The sequence below is a fragment of the Homo sapiens genome, chromosome 15 (assembly GCF_000001405.40).
Source record: "Homo sapiens chromosome 15, GRCh38.p14 Primary Assembly".
In the NCBI taxonomy this organism is placed as follows: Eukaryota; Metazoa; Chordata; class Mammalia; order Primates; family Hominidae; genus Homo; species Homo sapiens.
In genome coordinates, this window is record NC_000015.10 from 28677653 (window position 1) to 28696895 (window position 19243).

General features: G+C 40.6%; 2 pseudogenes across 1 annotated transcript in view; one reads left to right on the forward strand and one right to left on the reverse strand.

The window, feature by feature from the left end:
• Positions 1–7612, forward strand: part of HERC2P9 (HERC2 pseudogene 9) — a 30823-nt pseudogene extending 23211 nt beyond the window's left edge. Inside the window, exons 13-14 of the transcript NR_036443.1 lie at positions 4144–4191; positions 6477–7612. The product of NR_036443.1 is annotated as an HERC2 pseudogene 9 (transcript). The remainder of the gene's footprint in view (positions 1–4143; positions 4192–6476) is intronic.
• On the reverse strand, positions 1753–4600 carry LOC100419574 (HECT and RLD domain containing E3 ubiquitin protein ligase 2 pseudogene; annotated as a pseudogene).
• Positions 7613–19243: the final 11631 nt, after the last annotated feature.

Sequence of the window (19243 nt, forward strand, 5' to 3'; positions counted from 1 at the left end):
TATAAAACTTCTATAACAGAACATAGAAAGACAAACTTTATAATCTTGAGGCAAAGGTTTTGTAGTCACAACATCAAAAGTACACTCTACAAAAGAATAAAATGAATAAACTAGGCTTCATCAAAATTAAAAACTTCTAATCTTTAAGATTCACCTGTGAAGAGAATAAAATGACAAGCCACACTGACAGAAAATACTAGCAAATTCTATATTAGGCAAAGGACTTGTAACTCAGAATATATAAGGAACTCTCAAACCAGTAAGAAAACAACCTATTTAAATATGGGAAAAGACTTGAACAGACATTCACCAAAAAAGGTATGTGATTTGTAAATAAGCAAGATGCTTGAGATCATTAGTTATTAGGGAAATGCAGATTAAAACCACAACGAGATACCACTATACATCTGTCAGTATAACTAAAATTAAAGACTGAATGTATCAAGGGTTGACAAAAATGTGGAGGATGTGGACCTCTGGAACATCCACTTTGCAAAACAGTATGTAGCGATCTTAAGAAGCTAGACATACACCTACCATATGATCCAACCACTCCTCTCTTAGAAGTTTACCCAAGAGAATTTCAAGTGGATGTCCATACACAAACTTGTATGGAAATGTCCATTAGCAATTTCACTTGCATAGTCAAAAACTGGAAACAGCCCAAACATTCATCAACAGAAAAATGGATGAACAAATTGCATTTGTTTATCTTAAGATACTATTCAACAATTTAAAAGAATAAACTATTGATACATGCAACGTAAGTGAATCTCAAAATTATTATGCTGAGTGGAAAAAGTAAGATTTTTAAAAAGAGTATATGCTGTATGATTCTACTTATAGTAAGCTGTAAAACATGCAAACTGGCCTGCCACAGTGGCTCCTGCCCATAATCCCAGCACTTTGGGAGGCCGAGGTGGGAGGATCACTTGAGCTCAGGAGTTCCAGACCAACCTGAGCAACATGGCAAAACCATGTCTCCACCAAACAAACAAAAATTAGCCAGGCATGGTGACATGTGCCTGTAGTCCCAGCTATTTGGGAGGCTAAGGTGGGAGGATCACTTGAGCCCAGGAGGTGGAAGCTGCAGTGAGCCAAGATCGTGCCACTGCACTCCAGCCTGGGCAACAGAGTGAGACCCGGTCTACAAAAAAAAAGAAAACAAACAAATAAAACACCCACGAAACAACAACAACAAAAAGCAGACATGCAAACTGATCTCTAGTGACAGAAATTAAATTGGTGCATACGGCAGGAAGGAGGGAGGTAAAAGCAAAAGGGAGGGGTACAGAGGGCCAGAGAGGAACGCTGGGGTAGTGTATGAGTTCATTATCTTTGATTGTGCTGATGCTTTCATGGATCATACGTATTCCAAAGTCGATCAAAATGCATACTTTAAATAGGTGCAGTTTATTATATGTCAATTATAACTGAATAAAGCTGTTAAAAAATACAAAAGAGCCCAGTACAGTGCCTGTAGCTCTCAGGCAGTTATTAGGAGTCCTGTTCACACACAAGGACAGCGCTGTGAGTTTACCTGATCATAAACACAAGAATCAGCAACATACTTTCTTCTAAAACTTTCATTCCAGCAGCATAAATCGCATGAGAGCACACCATAATTCTTCTGTGTCTTTAGATTCATAATGTAGTTAACGCAGCACTACAACCTCTAATGTGTTGGCACAATTAAATAAATGTAAAGTTGCTGTAACCTACAGAAAAATCTCAGGATACAAATCTGTGTTACCTAAATAGGAAGCACCTAAAGGGTCTCTTGCAGTCTGGAAGAGGACGGGCTCGTGGACAGAGGGCGTGGCCACATCCACAGTTGTCCACGCCACACTGTGGGACGACCCACAAGCCACACACATGATCTTCTGGCCTTCTAAGCCTTGCACGAGCGTGGGCTTCCTGTTAACCGTGGTCGTGCCATTGCCCTGCTGGCCGTGGTCATTGTCACCCCAAGCATACACCTGTTTACGAGGAGAAAAAAGCTTATAATTTTTCAACATTTCAGGACATTTTCTTTAATGTAATTTTTACTTCAAAATGCTTAACGTGTATGCCATGGTATTTGAAAGAATTGAGTTCTTAAAAGTAAAAGCAAACCATTTCACAATCTTACAAAATGGCATCGGTGTACTATAATTCTGAAGAAAATCTAACCATGAAAATGCCAATAACCATAAAAGGAGTATTTTCTTAATATTAATCAAATTAATTCTGCTTTGTTGCAAGTCACACAGAAGGTCCTCTCTTCAACTAAGTGCAATAATTTTTTCCCTTTTACTTTGCAAAGAAAAATGACCAAAAACAATATGCTCATTTTTCAAGTAAGTAGCTCCTTGGCCTTATAGAATTATAAAGTATAATTCATTTTGACTAAAAAACAGTAATGGTAATTTTGTTTTCATAAATAAAATTTTAAATTGAATATCCACAAGCCGGTCATAGCATATGCTTCTCCAAGCAGAAGAGAGTGTAACACTTGTCAGGCACTAGCTCTGTCTCTAAAATGAGGCATGGGTGCCTCCTCACCAGTTAGCAATTTCCTAAAGCAAAGTCTTGTTAATACCTTGCAGTAGGAGCATCTTCAAGAATAACAATCTTTTGGCCGGGTGCGGTGGCTCACGCCTGTAATCCCAGCACTTTGGGAGGCCGAGGCAGGTGGATCACGAGGTCAGGAGATCGAGACCACGGTGAAACCCCGTCTCTACTAAAAATACAAAAAATTAGCCGGGCGTAGTGGCGGGCGCCTGTAGTCCCAGCTACTCGGGAGGCTGAGGCAGGAGAATGGCATGAACCCAGGAGGCAGAACTTGCAGTGAGCCGAGATTGCGCCACTGCACTCCAGCCTGGGCGACAGAGCGAGACTCTGTCTCAAAAAAAAAAAAAAAGGATAACAATCTTTCCACACACTTTTCACGTGGACTTCAGAGTGGGAACGCCTCTTTTCTGAGGACCCCACCCCCAACCCCTGCTGCTGAGCAGGCAGATACACCAGCGGGCAAAACGGATGGGTCCCGGCCTCATGGTTCTTCAAGCAGTAAGACTCGGCTGAGTTCATCAACAGCTGTGATTTCAACAGGACGAGGGCCATGTCGTGACCCCCACGTCCCCCAAGTCAGGATGGCACGCCACCCCCAGGCCACCTGCAGCCTTACCTGCCCCGAGTCCGTGACCGCCAGGCAGTGCAGGGCCCCGACAGCCACATGCACGATCTTCTTCCCTCTCAGCCCTTCCACCACCTACAGTTTCCACACGTGCACGTCAGAGCCCTGGCGCAACCTGAAGTAATCCCCCTTTCCCCTGAGAAGGAGGCCCGTGGTGGAGTGTTACAATATAGTTGTGGTCTGACAATGCTATACAAGAAGACACTCATTGTCTCACATCTTTCACAGCCAGCTCAATGACATCACACACAGCACCCAAGGTCTTCGAACTTGTATTCAAAATCATACACCATTAATTCAAATTAACTTATTAAGTCAGCTGGGAAAAACCTTAATACCTTAATACATGTTCTACAATATTTAAGTTACTGTTGTAGGTTTTCATATAGACTGAAAATAAGACACATTACTGCAAACACCTATCCAAAGTCCTATCTGGTATACATCTTTCTCAGAGTGCCAATGTCGGCCAGTAGCAGTGGTTCACGCCTGTAATCCCAGCACTTTGGGAGGCCGAGGCGGGTGGATCACAAGGTCAGGAGATCGAGACCATCCTGGCTAACATGGTGAAACCCTATCTCTACTAAAAACACAAAAAAATTAGCCGGGCATGGTGGCAGACGCCTGTAGTCCCAGCTACTCGGGAGGCTGAGGCAGGAGAATGGCGTGAACCCGGGAGACGGAGCTTGCAGTGAGCTGAGATTGTGCCACTGCATTCCAGCCTGGGCGACAGAGCGAGACTCCATCTCAAATAAATAAATAAATAAATAAATAAATAAATAAATAAATAAATAAATAGTGCCAATGTTATGACCAGAGGCAGCAAGGCCTGACACAGCATCCAAGGCCAGTCTGGGCACCTGCTCATTTGCACATTAATATAATAAGCTTTTACAAGAAATACATGTTAACTTTCTCAGGATCAAAGGATTCAGAAGGCTATTTTGCTCTCATTTTATCCTTAGGCTTCAGCAGAAGAAACACTTCCTATAAATCTCGCCCAAACAGGAAAGGTAAGTGGCCTAAAATTTTTCTAGTATTTTCAAAATGACCCAGTTACAATAGGAAATTTCTTCTTGTACTATTGTCACTAATCCCGACTCAATATCCTTTAAAGGACAAAGATGCATGCATAAGTAAAAATATGACAGGTCACAATCACGCCGGGGTGGTCCTGGGGCGAGGCCCAAGTTCCCTGCACGCGCCGGCACAAGCACACACACTGTGACGGGGAGGACGTTTACGTACCATGTCCACACCACTCCAGACTTGGTGAGCGCCAGTAGGAACTGAGCTCCACACTCAATCTGGCACACCCCCTGTCCATTTAGTCTCTCAATGTTCTGGGGAATGTTGCAGCCTTCACTTCCGCCCCGGCCCAATTTTCCAAAGTCACCATCACCCCAGGAAAATACCAAACCTAGGTTTAAAAATAGGGAAGGGAAGGGAAGGGAAGGGAAGGGAGAGAAGAAAGGAAAGATAAAGAAAGCCCAACCTCCTTCCAAAATGTCATGAGAATCTTGAGCACATATGGTCCTTGGCATGACCACATGACCTGCAGAGCCCCTGTTATAGAACTCATTTTTATATTTTCCTTAGTATAACAGTTAATATAATATGTCATTTTTGTTAATAGTGTCTTTTTGTCATTTTACTTTTTAAAAGATTTTATTGAAATATACATACAGGAAAGTGCATCTATCATAAGTGTGCAAATTGATGAATTCTAAAATCTTTATTGTACCTGTTTAGCACCTAGATTGACACTGAACATAACTAACAACCAGAAATCTCCGTGTACTCCCTTCCTGTAACTACCCCTGCGCCCGACCAAATCACTCTCTTCTAACAGCATAACTTTGTGTGACTAGCTTTTTTAATGTAAAAGAATGAAATCTACAGCATGTATTCATTTGCATCTGGCTTCTGCCACCCAACATTATATTTGTGGGATTCATTTGTACAGTTGCATATTAGTTTGCAGATCCCTCACTCTCATTTCTATATGGTATTATATTGCATAAACGTACCACACTTTATCCAACTACTGTTAAATATTTGTGCATTTTCTACTTGGGGGTGATTTCAAATAGTGCTGCTATGAACATTCTTGTAAATGTCTTTTGGTGAACATATGCAACACATATATGCGTTGTTGTTGGTTCCCAGGAGGGGCATTCCTGGGTCATAAACAATGCGTGTGTTCAGGTTTAGTACAGTATAATGCCAAACAGGTTTCCAAAGTGTTTGTGCCACTTTACATACCTGCCATTATTGAAAAAGAGTTCTGTTTGCTCCACATTGTCACCAATACTTGATATTTTCTGTTTTTTTTTTCTTTTAAACCGTACTAGTGGGTGTGCAGTGATATTGCAATGTGGTTTTAATTTGCATCTTCCTTGTGACAACCTTGATTACTGTAAGCCACTTGGAAATGTGATTTAAATTCATATAAAGATATAGTAGCAAAACGCATACTAGGTTACTTTCGTATCCAGAAAGTTTAGATAGAATGATTTCTATGTAAGCTTTTACTGTGTAGTCTGAGTCCATGAATATTGATTACAAAAAACACATCTGTAGGTGAGTTACAATACCTCACTTATAATTCAAAATTCATGTGTTAGCTCAATATTTTTCAAATAATTTTTGCATGCAATTTTCACCTTCTTTCTGAGTAGTTTCAGGTATTTTGTATGGTTCCAGCAGTCAGTTAGGTTGCCATTGTTTGGAAGCACACATCCACGTATCTGCACCATGATGATATGGCACGCCCATACCCCTCATTTCACATTTTGTCAGAAGTGCATAGTTATCACTAACTTTGCCAGTAGAAATGTACTCCCAATTTCCCACGGACTTATCTTGAATAATCTCTCCACTGAAGCATAACAGGTTTTGAATTCTGTTAGAATAGTTGTTTTTACTATCTTTTAATTTTATACAAATTTCAAAGTTACGTAATACTTTTATTTAAAAAGTGAAACAAAGCTTTTCCTCTCCCTTACCCACATGTTAGTCCAGCAGAAGGGGAAAGCATTGGCCCCAGGCCAAAATCATAAACGCTTTCAATTAACTAATAATAATTGCTGGCATGTTGCCATTAAATATCCTTGTCTCATTATCTCTGGTTGCTTTATCAAACCCATAGGTCACTGAAGCCCACTTTTGAGACAAAGACTATTTCTCCCCCAAAAGTCAAGGGAAATATAAAAAATGAAATTAGTGATTAAGAATAGAAGTCAATTAATACAATCATTTTGTCTTAATTATTTAAAGTCCAGTTTTTTTCCTGCAGCAAACCTGAAAATACACTATCCTCCAGCTATCAGAATTATATTGAGATCTACTCACATTTATGATGATGTTCAGAGATTCTCATTGGGAAGGAAAAGGCACACGCTGCGGTGGTCTTGCATGACTCTGTTGTTGTGGAAATTCAATTTGTTCATTGTGTTTTGGGCTCCCTGGGTGGTCAGGGCTGGGCTCTGGGTCCTTGGCAATTCCTCAGGTTCCCAGCACTCCAAAGCCAAGCTCACCTCCTCATCACACGCCCTGCAGGAGAAGCATTAGGGTGTCCGACTACGTGGGTTTCATAGCTGTGGAAAAGCCAAAGGGGAGACTCCTGAAGAAAGGCGGTGAAGACTGTGAAGAGCGGGTCAGGAAGATGAGCACAGCACTGCTACTCCTGTGGGCACAGGGACAGCATGTCTCCAGCCAGTGCCACCTTGTTTAATACATGGGAACTCACTGAAATTCATTCTGTATTTTGCCCGCAAAGTTTTAAAGATTTCATCCACAGTCAGGAATTAAACTTATACCAATGAGAGCCTCACACATTCAAGGATGTACTAAGCACTACAGGCCTCACAGAAACAGAGATCCCATCTTGGAGTTTTCAGTCCCACATGGGAGATAAAGGGTTTTGAACATGAAATGACAAAAACAACAGCAAGAAGAAAATTCTCGTCCTTTTTCATTACTATCAGACTCAAATAAATGTCTTGGCTCTTACATTACATTCATTCTTCAACCATTGTGGTCTGGCTTCCACTTCCTTCACTTCACCAACATGGCTCTGCCAAAGGAAGCCCGTGATCTCTAGGCCATCACTTTAATTGATCTCTCTACAACATTTATCCTGGTCGTTAAGCCCTCCTTACAACATTCTTTTCTCTGTTTTTATAGCTCCATCTCTCCTGCTTCTTTAACTTGATAATGCATACTTGATTTTTCTATTTGTTATTTCATAAACCAATTAATATACAGATAAAATGACTGTATATCAAACCATGTTTGTATAGAAAAAATGGATTTTGGATGCCTCTCATATGTAATTAGTTCTATTAAACATATTAATTGTATTGTTTAATTTGTCAGGTTTTTGACAGAATTTTGTTTACAAGTAATAAAAATTTTATCTCCAATTTTCAATAATTACACCCATTATTTCTGTTTTATGTCTCATTGCATTGATGAGATCTTGCAGAATAATTTTAAAACAGTAGTGGGTATTTTCTACTTTTAATGGGTATGTCTAGTATTTCATATATTGTTGCTTATAGAACACTATTCAACCAAGACATGTCAAGACTAGTTGTCTCTCAAACCATTAGTATTTATATTATTCCTTTCCAGCTACACTTGTAGGATGTAAAAGACCATTTCCAGGAATATGGAACTGTTTTACTAGGTGGAGGGTATATATAACCATACAATAGTCACAGAAACTACATTAATACTCACATAAATCAAAGCATAAATGACATAGAATCTTGGCAGATTTGCTTAAGGTTAAATGTATAACTCTTATCAGCAGGAGGTGAAAGAATATATTCTTAGATACTTGGCACATTTAGAAAATATAATCTAATATTCTTTTTAAAGAATAGGCCGGGCACGGTGGCTCACACCTGTAATCCCAGCACTTTGGGAGGCCAAGGCGGGCGGATCACGAGGTCAGGAGATCGAGACCATCCTGGCTAACACGGTGAAACCCCGTCTCTACTAAAAATACAAAAAATTAGCTGGGCGCGGTGGCGGGCGCCTGTAGTCCCAGCTACTCAGGAGGCTGAGGCAGGAGAACGGCGTGAACCCAGGAGGTGGAGCTTGCAGTGAGCCGAGATCGCGCCACTGCACTCCAGCCTGGGCGAAAGAGCGAGACTCTGTCTCAAAAAAAAAAAAGAATAAATAAAACATCATCTACAAGGGAATTACTTGAAATTAAAACAAATGGTAGTCATATATATGGTACTTCATTATTAGGAAGGTGACTAAAAGCCCATTTAGACATATTCTGCTTTTCTTAAGGAATAATGATCGTTTCATGTTAGGTTATAGCCAGCACAGCACCTCGTGGGGTCATCAGAGGCCTGTGCTATCATTCTCACTAGGAGGGATGGTTAACCCATGTGTTCTAGGACCACAAACTATGCCCCAATCTACTCATCCATCTAGAAAAAAAGGCATGCTTTTAGTTCAACAATTCCAAAGCATCAGTTGGAGGACCAGTGTTGGCTGCATCAGAATCACCTGGGTGTTTGTAATAAATACAGAATCCTGAGCAGGTATTCTGGCATTTCTGTTCATACAGAATCTCCAGGGTCAGGGCCAAGTATGTCTGATGTGTAGCAACAGACGGAAACCATCACTTTAGTTAGCAGAAGGAAGGCACTGAGCAGAGGGTTGAATATAATACATTGGAAAAATATCTTAAAGAATTGGGAAAAAGTAATATATGTGAATATCACATCATCATTATAATAGGAAAAGACAAGGTCCTCAACATTGTCAAAGGTATAAATTCCTAAAACAGGTCAAATTCGTGTTCTCAAAACATTTTCCTGAAAAATGTTACTAGGTGGTATAGGGATAAATAGGTTTGCAAAGTACTGTACCCTCTATATATCTTGTCTCAGAAATTCAGAAAGTGTTAAAGACTCTGAGAAGTCCTGCAGGCAACTTCTTATATTTAATGCAGTATATCTCAAACTCACTTGAGCACACAATACTTTTTTCCCCCGAGGCATATCTATTAAGGTCCTATAGAACAATATTCTTAGGCATACCATTTAGAGATACAATTCTAAAATGATTTTATCAAATATTCTATTTCATGGCAAAGTTTTTCCCTATATATTGACATATTCCAACACTTAGTGTTCCTTTTTGCAATATAAATCTTTTCAAGAGGAAATTATAAGCATTGATTAAATGCATCTTAAATTCAAAACCTTAAATAATATTCATCCCAGTATAATTCTTATTGAAATCTATACTTCAAATTGAGTTAGTCCTATAATTTTTCACTTCTAATTAAACCAATTAAAGCAGGGTATGTCTACTGACCTACTTTCCAGAATTTAAAAAATAAACTAGGAAAAAACATCTTCTGAGCTGTGGGATGTTTCCAGAGCTTCATTAAAATAACTTGAAATTTTCATTTGGGTACAATTTTTGCTTATTTTATGGTTCAAATATGCAGCACAAAAGATGACTGGAAGAGGATTATTGAAGCAAATTTAATAAAAGCAGAGTCTATATGAGGCAGTGCTGCTTCATTGCTGCTTTTTCTGCTTTGAGGATGGCAAACTAGAAAAGCCCTTAGATTAAGTTTTTACTTTACCTAAGACAGCATTAAAGCTGATTAAAAGGTTCCACTGAAATGGCAAAATGGCCATATCTCTAATAAGCGCCAGTATAAAACTTAATCTTAAATTGGGCAGTCCTGGGGAAAAGAATTAGATTTAATTTATACCAATTTGAATTATAGAAGTCAGACTCATAGCAGCCATTGGCTACTTATTCTGTGTGCTAAACTAAATCTCAACTCAGTCCCAGGAGGACACATTTCCTACTACAGGGCAACCCTTTTCTGCCCAGTGATCTTAGGTTCGATTATCTATGAAGGGTAGACCATGTGGTAGTAACATATTTTCCAGGGAACAAAACAAATCAGTTTTAATAGTGATCAAACCCCACCCAGCCTCTTTATGTGTTAATACCCAACTTACAAAACCGTATGTTAAGCTGTACAATTCCTCCACTGGAAATTTAAGCGCACATTATTATGAGTTCCTTATTTCCTGATAAGTCCCAATGGTTACAAAATTACTCAGTTTCTTTGAAGAATCAGGAAGCCACCACCCATGGGCACTCAATACTGATTGTCATTTTTAACAAATTGTGGGAAATAAGCTTTAAAACTGGGTCACTACCCCTAAAAGTATGCAGTTTAGTTATAATATATCAATACTGATTTGTTAGTTGTGACAAATATACCATAATCATGTAAGATGTTAGCAACAAGGGAAACTGGGTGCCTGTGTGGTACACAGAAACTCTCTATACCACCTTTGCAACTGTTTTCTAAATATAAAACTATGCTAATATTTTTTTAAATTTAAAAATTAAAAGTAGGTCACCAGAAATTTCCTACCCACATAATATAGTCTCATTTTGAATGTAGGCAAAGGAGGATTCTCAATTCTAGGACTGTCTCTCTAAAAAAGTAAAAAGCTGGTAATTTGATAAGATTACTGCAAGAGAAGCATGACTAAGTAGGCATATATCAACAGTCAATATGGTACCTTTATTACCTAAGAAAAACAAGGCAAAAATTTATCTTGGAAAACTGGATTGCAGAGAACCCTATCTTCTAATTTAATCATCACACACTTATATAGCTCATGTTACACACACAGTACGGTAATATTTATTTGCTGAAAAGCAGAATACAAAAGCATTAGATACTCCCCATCCACCTATGAGTTCACCATCTAGTTAAGTACACGTCACTGCCAAGAAGCTTAAAATGATAGTATTGTCCCTGATTTCTAAGAGCACACATACGCTGACGGGCAACTCTCATGCCAACCTCAAAGGAAGGTAGAATGGATAACAGCATTAAGTCTACAAATACTGTGCTGTGAACACTGTAGCTAAGACCATTCTGGAATAAACAGTGTATCATCTTTAATGTATAGTATCCTATCCCAAAAGTGATATCAAAATGTCTTTAGTAAAATAAGTTCTGTTCTTCTTCATTCTTTCATTCAGCACCTACTGTCTGCCAAGTGTTGCTGTATATGCTGAGCACACTAACAGCACTAACAAAAATACCCTGCTCTAATAGAAACAGACAATAAGCATATGACGTAGATGGTGTTATGTACTATGAAGAGAAATAAGCCCAGAGCAGATGAGAGTTGATGGAGTTGTGTCTTAATTTGCCTTATTTTACATATATTTAATGTATTAAAATCGTGCTGACATCCTATGTGGAAAGGTTTACTGAAAATTTGAGAGACAGAGAATGGCTGATCTGTAGAACATGGGTACTGTCTAAAAGAACCTTCACTGATTCTTTCAAACTTTTCCAGAGATAAACTTAGACTCATTTTGAAAGTTGCTTTATTACCAAAAAATTGCCACTCCATGAAAAGTTCAGCACTTGATGCCAATAGATGTGACAACAAAAAAGCAACTTTGGCATCACATATATGGTCAGGAAAACCATCAGAAACTAAGAGATTTTTTTTTTTTTTTTTTTTTTTTTTTTTTTTGGTAATGGAGTCTTGCTCTGTCACCCAGGCTGGAGTATAGTGTTGCAATCTGGGCTCACTGCAACCTCCGCCTCCCCGGTTCGAGTGATTATCCTGCCTCAGCCTACCGAGTAGCTGGGATTACAGGCATGCACCACCACACCCCAAAATGAGGTTTCACCATGTTGGCCAGGCTGGTCTCAAACTCCTGACCTCAGGTGATCCACCCACCTCTGTTGCAGGAAGTCAGGGACCCCAAACGGAGGGACCAGCTGAAGCCATGGCAGAAGAACATAAATTGTGAAGATTTCATGGAGATTCATTAGTTCCCCAAATTAATACTTTTATAATTTCTTACGCCTGTCTTTACTGCAGTCTCTGAACATAAATTGTGAAGATTTCATGGACACTTATCACTTCCCCAATCAATACCCTTGTGATTTCCTATGCCTGTCTTTAATCTCTTAATCCCGTCATCTTCATAAGCTGAGTAGGATGTATGTCGCCTCAGGACCCTGTGATGATTGCGTTAACTGCACAAATTGTTTGTAGAACATGTGTGTTTGAACAATATGAAATCTGGGCACCTTGAAAAAACAACAGGATAACAGCAATGTTCAGGGAACAAGAGAGATAATCTTAAACTCTGACTGCCGGTGAGCCGGGCGGAACAGAGCCATATTTCTCTTCTTTGAAAAGCAAATGGGAGAAATATCGTTGAGTTCTTTTTCTCAGCAAGGAACATCCCTGAGAAAGAGAATGTATCCCTGAGGGGAGGCCTCTGAAATGGCCACTTTGGGGACGGCTGTCTTTTACAGTCACAGCAGAGGGATGAAATAAGCCCCGGTCTCCCATAGCGCTCCCAGTCTTATTAGGACGAGGAAATTCCTGCCTAATAAATTTTGGTCAGACCAGTTGTCTGCTCTCAAACCCTGTTTCCTGATAAGATGTTATCAATGACAATGCGTGTCTGAAACTTCATTAGCAATTTTAATTTTGCCCCGGTCCTGTGGTCTTGTGATCTCGCCCTGCCTCCACTTGCCTTGTGATATTCTATTACCTTGTGAAGCATGTGATCTCTGTGACCCACACCCTATTCGTACACTCCCTCCCCTTTTGAAAATTGCTAATAAAAACTTGCTGGTTTTATGGCTCAGGGGGCATCACGGAACCTGCCAACATGTGACGTCTCCCCCAGACACCCAGCTTTAAAATTTCTCTTTTGTACTCTGTTCCTTTATTTCTCAGACCGGCCAACACTTAGGGAAAATAGAAAAGAAACTATGTGAAATATCGGGGGTGAATTTTGCCCGATACACCTCAGCCTCCCAAAGTGCCAGGATTACAGGTGTGAGCCTTCGTGCCTGGCCGATAACTCCTTTGAAACAACATAAATATGGAAATGAACTACTCACATATGTTATTATATTGCCCATATCCTTCTGCAGCTTGCCTTTTTCACCCAAAGTTTTCTTCATGAGATTTACCCATGTTAATTCTTTTCAATCTAGTATGTTCATGTTTAATTGCTGTATAATATTCCACCACATGGATATGAGTTTATCCAATCTCTTGTTGGTTAACTTACATTCTGCATCATCTTATGTTACTGCAAATACTACCGTGATAAACAGGTTTTCCAAATTTCTTTGTACACATGTGTTTTTTTGCTCAGGTATGTGCATCTTCAACTTCATTAGAGATTATAAAATTGCACTCCACTTTACCTAGCTGAGTTTCCACTGGCCCATATCTCTGCCAGCAATTCTGTCAGACTTACATTTTCGCCAATCTGAAGATGACAGAATAGTCATTTTAACTTTCAATTTATCCATGAGTTTCTAGTTCAAGTATCTTTTCCCATGTTTACTGACCATTCCAGTTTCTTCCTCTATAAAGTAACTCTTCACATCCTATGCCCATTTTGTCTTAAGTTTTTCTTTTCATTATTAGGCTATTTTTCATATCCTGGATACTAACCATTACAAAAAGTTTCCCTACAACAAGATCACAAAGACAGGTAAATTTTCTTTGAAATTTTTTCTAGTTTTTCTTTTCATATTTTAGTCTTATAATGTCAGAAAAAAAGACCTAACACTCAAATGTCAAAAAAAAACCTAACTGAATAAAAAAGTGGTACATCCACACTACAAAGTACTAATTTTAAAAAAGATGAAGAACATTTCTATAAACAGATATGAAGTGATCTCTAAGAGAAGTTTAAAAAGGTGCAAAATGGGCCGGATGCAGTGGCTCACACCTGTAATTCCCAGCACTTTGAAAACACTCTGGGAGGCTGAGGCAGGTGGATCGCCTGAGCCCGATATCAGCCTGGGCAGCATGGCAAAACCCAGTCACTACCAAAAATACAAAAAAAATAGCCGGGTGTGGTGGCACACACCTGTGGTTCCAGCTACCCTGGAGGCTGGGGTGGGAAGACAGCTTGAGTCTAGGAGGCAGAGGTTTCAGTGAGCCAAGATCACCCCACTGTACTCCAGCCTCAGTGACAGAGTGAGACCCCACCCCAGGTCAAAAAACAAAGTGCACAATGGTATATGCTATCTTTTATCTAAGGGAGGGAGAAAATATTCCTGCCTCAGCCTCCCGAGTGGCTGGGATTGCAGGCTGAGCCACCATGCCCGGCTAATTTATTTATTTATTTTTTTTGGTGGAGATGGGGCTTCATGTTCGTGGGGCTGGTCTCAAACTCCCGACCTCAGGTTATCTGCCTGCCTCGTCCTCTCAGGGTGCTGGGATGGGAACAGGAATTAAAAGAAATTTAAAAATGTGTAAACAAAAACTCAGTTGTATGTAAAAAAACCCAATTCCCCCTGAGAAAGAGAAGAGCTAGAGTCCTTCAAAAAAAACTACTACCTCCTGTTTTTCTATGGCAGTGAGCCTTATCTCTCCTCCCTTCCCGGGCATTATAAAAACCCTAATTCCCTAACTGTACAACTGCAAGGTCACTAAACAAACTCAAGTTACAAAACATATTTTTCCTAAAAAAGGAAAAAATAATATAATGCATGATTCAATTGAACAATTATCTTTGTTTCTCACTTCTATCATATGCTTCACCCTGCACAGATCTACCCCCACCCCATAAAATGCTTAAAAGGTAAGTCTTGTTCAGAACTCAGTGCTTTAAATGTTAATCCGACTGGGTCAATGCACGTAAATAATTAATTAATAACCTCCTAAACCCCATCAGTCTCTCTAATTCCTTAAAAATCCTGCTTCAGGATTGTAAGCATGAGCCACCAGGGTGCTGGGATTGCAGGTGTGAGCCACCGCACCCAGCCCAATTTCTTAATCAGAAAAGAATAGATCGGCCTGGTGTGGTGGCTCACGCTTGTGATCCCAAGAATTTGGACAGCCGAGCGTGTTGGATCCCTTGAGCCTAGGAGTTCCAGACCAGCCTGGGCAACATGGTGAAACCGGGTCACTTTTTTTGTTTTTTGTTTTTGTTTTTTTTTGAGGCGGAGTTCCGCTCTTGTTGCCCAGGCTGGAGTGCAGTGGTGTGGACTCAGCTCGCCGGGCCTCTGCCTCCCCGGTTTGGGTGGTTCTCCTGCCACAGCCTCCCTAGTGGCTGGGATTGCAGGCGTGAGCCATCATGCTCGGCTCTTTTTTTTTTTTTTTTTTTTTTTTTTTTTTGGTGGAGATGGGGTTTCTCCATGTTGGTCAGGCTGGTCTCAAACTCCCGACCTCAGGTTATCTGCCCGCCTCGGCCTCTAGGGGTGCTGGGATTTCAGGCGTGAGCCACTGCGCAAGTCCCAATTTATTAATCATAAAGGAACTGATCGGCCTGGCGTGGTGGCTCACGATTGATCCCAGGACTTTGTAGGGCTGAGCGCGGGGGATCACTTGAGACTAGGAGTTCCAGACTGGCCTGGGCAACATGATGAAACTTGTTCTCTTTTTTTTTTTTTTTTTTTTTTTTTGAGACAGAATTTCGCTCTTGCTGACTGGCTGGAGTGCAGTGGCGTGGTCTCGGCTGCCTGTGGCCTCCCTCTCCGGGTTTGGTTGGTTCTCCTGCCTCAGCTTCCCAAGTGGCTGGGATTGCAGGTGTGAGCCACTATGCCCGGCTTTTTTTTTTTTTTTTTTTTGGTAGAGACGGGGTTTCTTCATGTTTGTCAGGCTGATCTCAGACTCCCGACCTCAGGTGATCCGCCCGCCTCGGCCTCCCTGGGTGCTGGGATTGCAGGCTTGAGTCACCGTTCCTGGCCCAATTTATTAATTAGAAAGGAATAGATTGGCCTGGAGTGGTGGCTCATGCTTGTGATCCCAGGAATTTGGACGGCCGAGAGCGGCAGATCGCTTGAGCCTAGGAGTTCCAGACCAGCCTGGGCAACACGGTGAAACCCGGTCGCTTTGTTTTTTGTTTTTGTTTTGTTTTTTTTTTTTTGAGGTGGAGTTACGCTCTTGTTGCCCAGGCTGGAGTGCAGTGGCGTGGACTCAGCTCACTGGGCCTCCGCCTCCTGGGTTTGGGTGGTTCTCCTGCCTCAGCCTCCCGAGTGGCTGGAATTGCAGGTGTGAACCACCATGCCTGCTAACTTTGTATTTTTTGTTTTTTTTTTTTTAGTATAGACGAGTATTCTCCACATTGGTCAGGCTGGTCTCAAACTCCCGACTGCAGGTTATCCACCCGCCTCGGCCTCTCGGGGTGGTGCGATTCCAGGCATAAGCCACTGTGACCGGCCCAATTTATTAATCAGAAAGGAACAGATTGGCCTGGCGTGGTGGCTCACGCTGGTGATCCCAGCTGGGACTTTGGACGGCCGAGCACTGAGGATCGATTGAGCCTAGGAGATCCAGACCGGCCTGGGCAACGTGGTGAAACCGGTCTTTTTTTTTTTTTTTTGAGGCAGAGTTTCGCTCTTGTTGCCCAGGCTGGAGTGCAGTGGCCCGGTCTCAGCTCCCCGTGGCCTCCACCTCCCGGGTTTGGGTGGTCCTCCTGCCTTAGCCTCCTGAGTGGCTGGGATTGCAGGCGTGAGCCACCATGCCAAGTTAGTTTTTTATTTTTTTATTTTTTTGGTAGAGACTGGGTTTCTCCATGTTGGTCAGGCTGGTCTCCAGCTCCTCACCTCAGGTGATCTGCCGGACTCCACCTTCTGGGGTGCTGGGATTGCAGGCGTGAGTCACTGCGCCTGACCTGACACCAGGTCTCTTAACAGAAAAACAAAACAAAAACCATAAAGATTAGCCTGGCCTGGTGGGCCCGGCGGGCAGTCCCAGCTACTCTGAAGGCTGATGTAGGAGGATTGCTTGAGCCAGGGGGTGGAGGTGGCAGTGAGCCATGTTGGCGCTGCTGCAGTCCAGACTGGGCGACAGAGCGGGACAGTGTCTCAGGAAAAGGGAAAGGAAAAAAAAATAAAGAAAAAGAAAGTATATAAAATTGCTAAATCAGGGAACAGCTTAAGAGTATATTATTGAGAGAAATAGAGGCAAAGGTGAGCAGACACCAATGTTCACTTAGTGGAACTGCAGGTGTCCCCAGACAGGAGGCTGCTATTTTTCCAAAAGAAATCTACTATTGACTTAAAAAAAAAAAAAAAAGTTGGTTTGTTACAATATACAAATAGCTACACTTTATATAGCCACCACCCTCTTCTAGCACTGCTCTAAGCCTTTTCCTGCTCTGAAAGAGCTACTGTTACCTCCATTGTAGAAAAAACAGATGCCAGAGGTTGTTGTGGAAGGACCAGGGAAACTGAAATTTACTTGTACTTTTCAGACTTAAAGGTTCTTCCTGCTCTGCTCCATACACTGCAACATTGTAGTTAACATACCTCTTAAAATACTGGTCCTTTCTGTATTTGGAGGGACTCATCTTGCAGTGTGAAGTTTTTTCTTGCACTAAGCATTTGGTCATAAGCTCATTTGCGTTTTATGTCAGGTTTAAGTACCTCTTCAGACATTGTTCAGTTAGGAATGTAAATATGAGCAAACAGGTATCTGATTGAAATAGATAACCTAGAAAAAATCACTTATGAGAAAGTCAAGAAAATGTGAACTCTGGATTTGTGGCTATTTTCAGAATGTATTAATTTTTTGATATTTAATGGCGTTATGAGTATATTTATTTTTAAAAATTCCTTGTCTTCTACAGATACATATAAGGTAATTTTAAAAATGATATGATATATAGGTTTTACTTAAAAATAATTCAGAGGAAGAAGGAATGTATATAAATGAAGTGGGAATACAAATGGAACAAAACAGGATGTGGCCAGGTGCGGTGGCTCACGCCTGTAATCCCAGCACTTTGGGAGGCCGAGGCAGGCAAATCACCTGATGTCAGGAGTTCAAGACCAGCCTGGCCAACGTGGTGACACCCCATCTCTACTAAAAATACAAAAATTAGCCGGATGTTGTGACGGGTGCCTGTAATCCCAGCTACTCAGGAGGCTGAGGCAGGAGAATTGCTTGAACCTGGGAGGCAGAAGTTTCAGTAAGTCAAGATCATGCCACTGCACTCCAGCCTGGGCAACCACAGCAAAAGCCCACCTTTAAAAAAAAAAACAAAACAAAAACTGGCCATGCCATGAATGAAAAATTGTTGATGATGTATGTATGTAGGGCAGTTATATTATTTTTCTTAACTTTTTTTAGGTTTGAAACTTTTTATTGAACACATGCAAACATCCCTTGATAACTGGGGCTGCTTCCCCATTATTCTCATAGTAGCCCTTCTGATTTTCACTTCATCTTCATTCTTAGAGATTCTGGATTTTTTTTTTTTTTTGGCAAGATCAAATATGTCTTTGCAAGGACCATCCAGAATGTCTATTTTATGACAGAGGCTTTGCAGAGTACCTACTCAGCCATATTATCAGAAACAGAAATATTTTCCATATTCTTGTCTTGTCCTGTTTAGATTTTTTAAATTCCAAGAACAGTCACCTTCTACCACACACTCTGATGTTGGAAGACAAAGCATATTTTGTAAGTGGCATGATTTCTGGGCTCAAATTTAGAACAGAGCCACAGCTTTCAACAACCAAAAAATAACTTACTGTGACTCACCAAATTTAGAAAGATGGGGATTATTATAAAAAGAAAACCTTAATTTACTATGTGACCTCTAAGTATCTGGGCTGAAAATTGTAAAGATAGAAAGGTAAATCAAAAGATATAGAGACTGTAATCATGCACTTAATGAAGCACTAAATCAAAATATATTTGGCATACGTGAAAGAGTTTAATTTTATCACATTTTTTACTGGCACTATAGCTATTTGCAAGTACATATAAAACTACAGTGTTACATATAAACTACCAAAAAAGAACTTTTTAAGAAATGAGACTCATCTAGCAACTTTATTTAAAAGTTTATCTTAGGGGAATAATTAAGGATGGCCATACAAAAGGATTTAGCCATGACACGAGAATGTTCTCCCTGGCAAACCAATGGAAATTATTAAATGTGCAAAATGGAACTGTTGGAATAAATTCTAATGCCTTCATATGATCGTATATTTAACCTTTTAAAATGATATTGAAGAGTTGCATACATTGACTT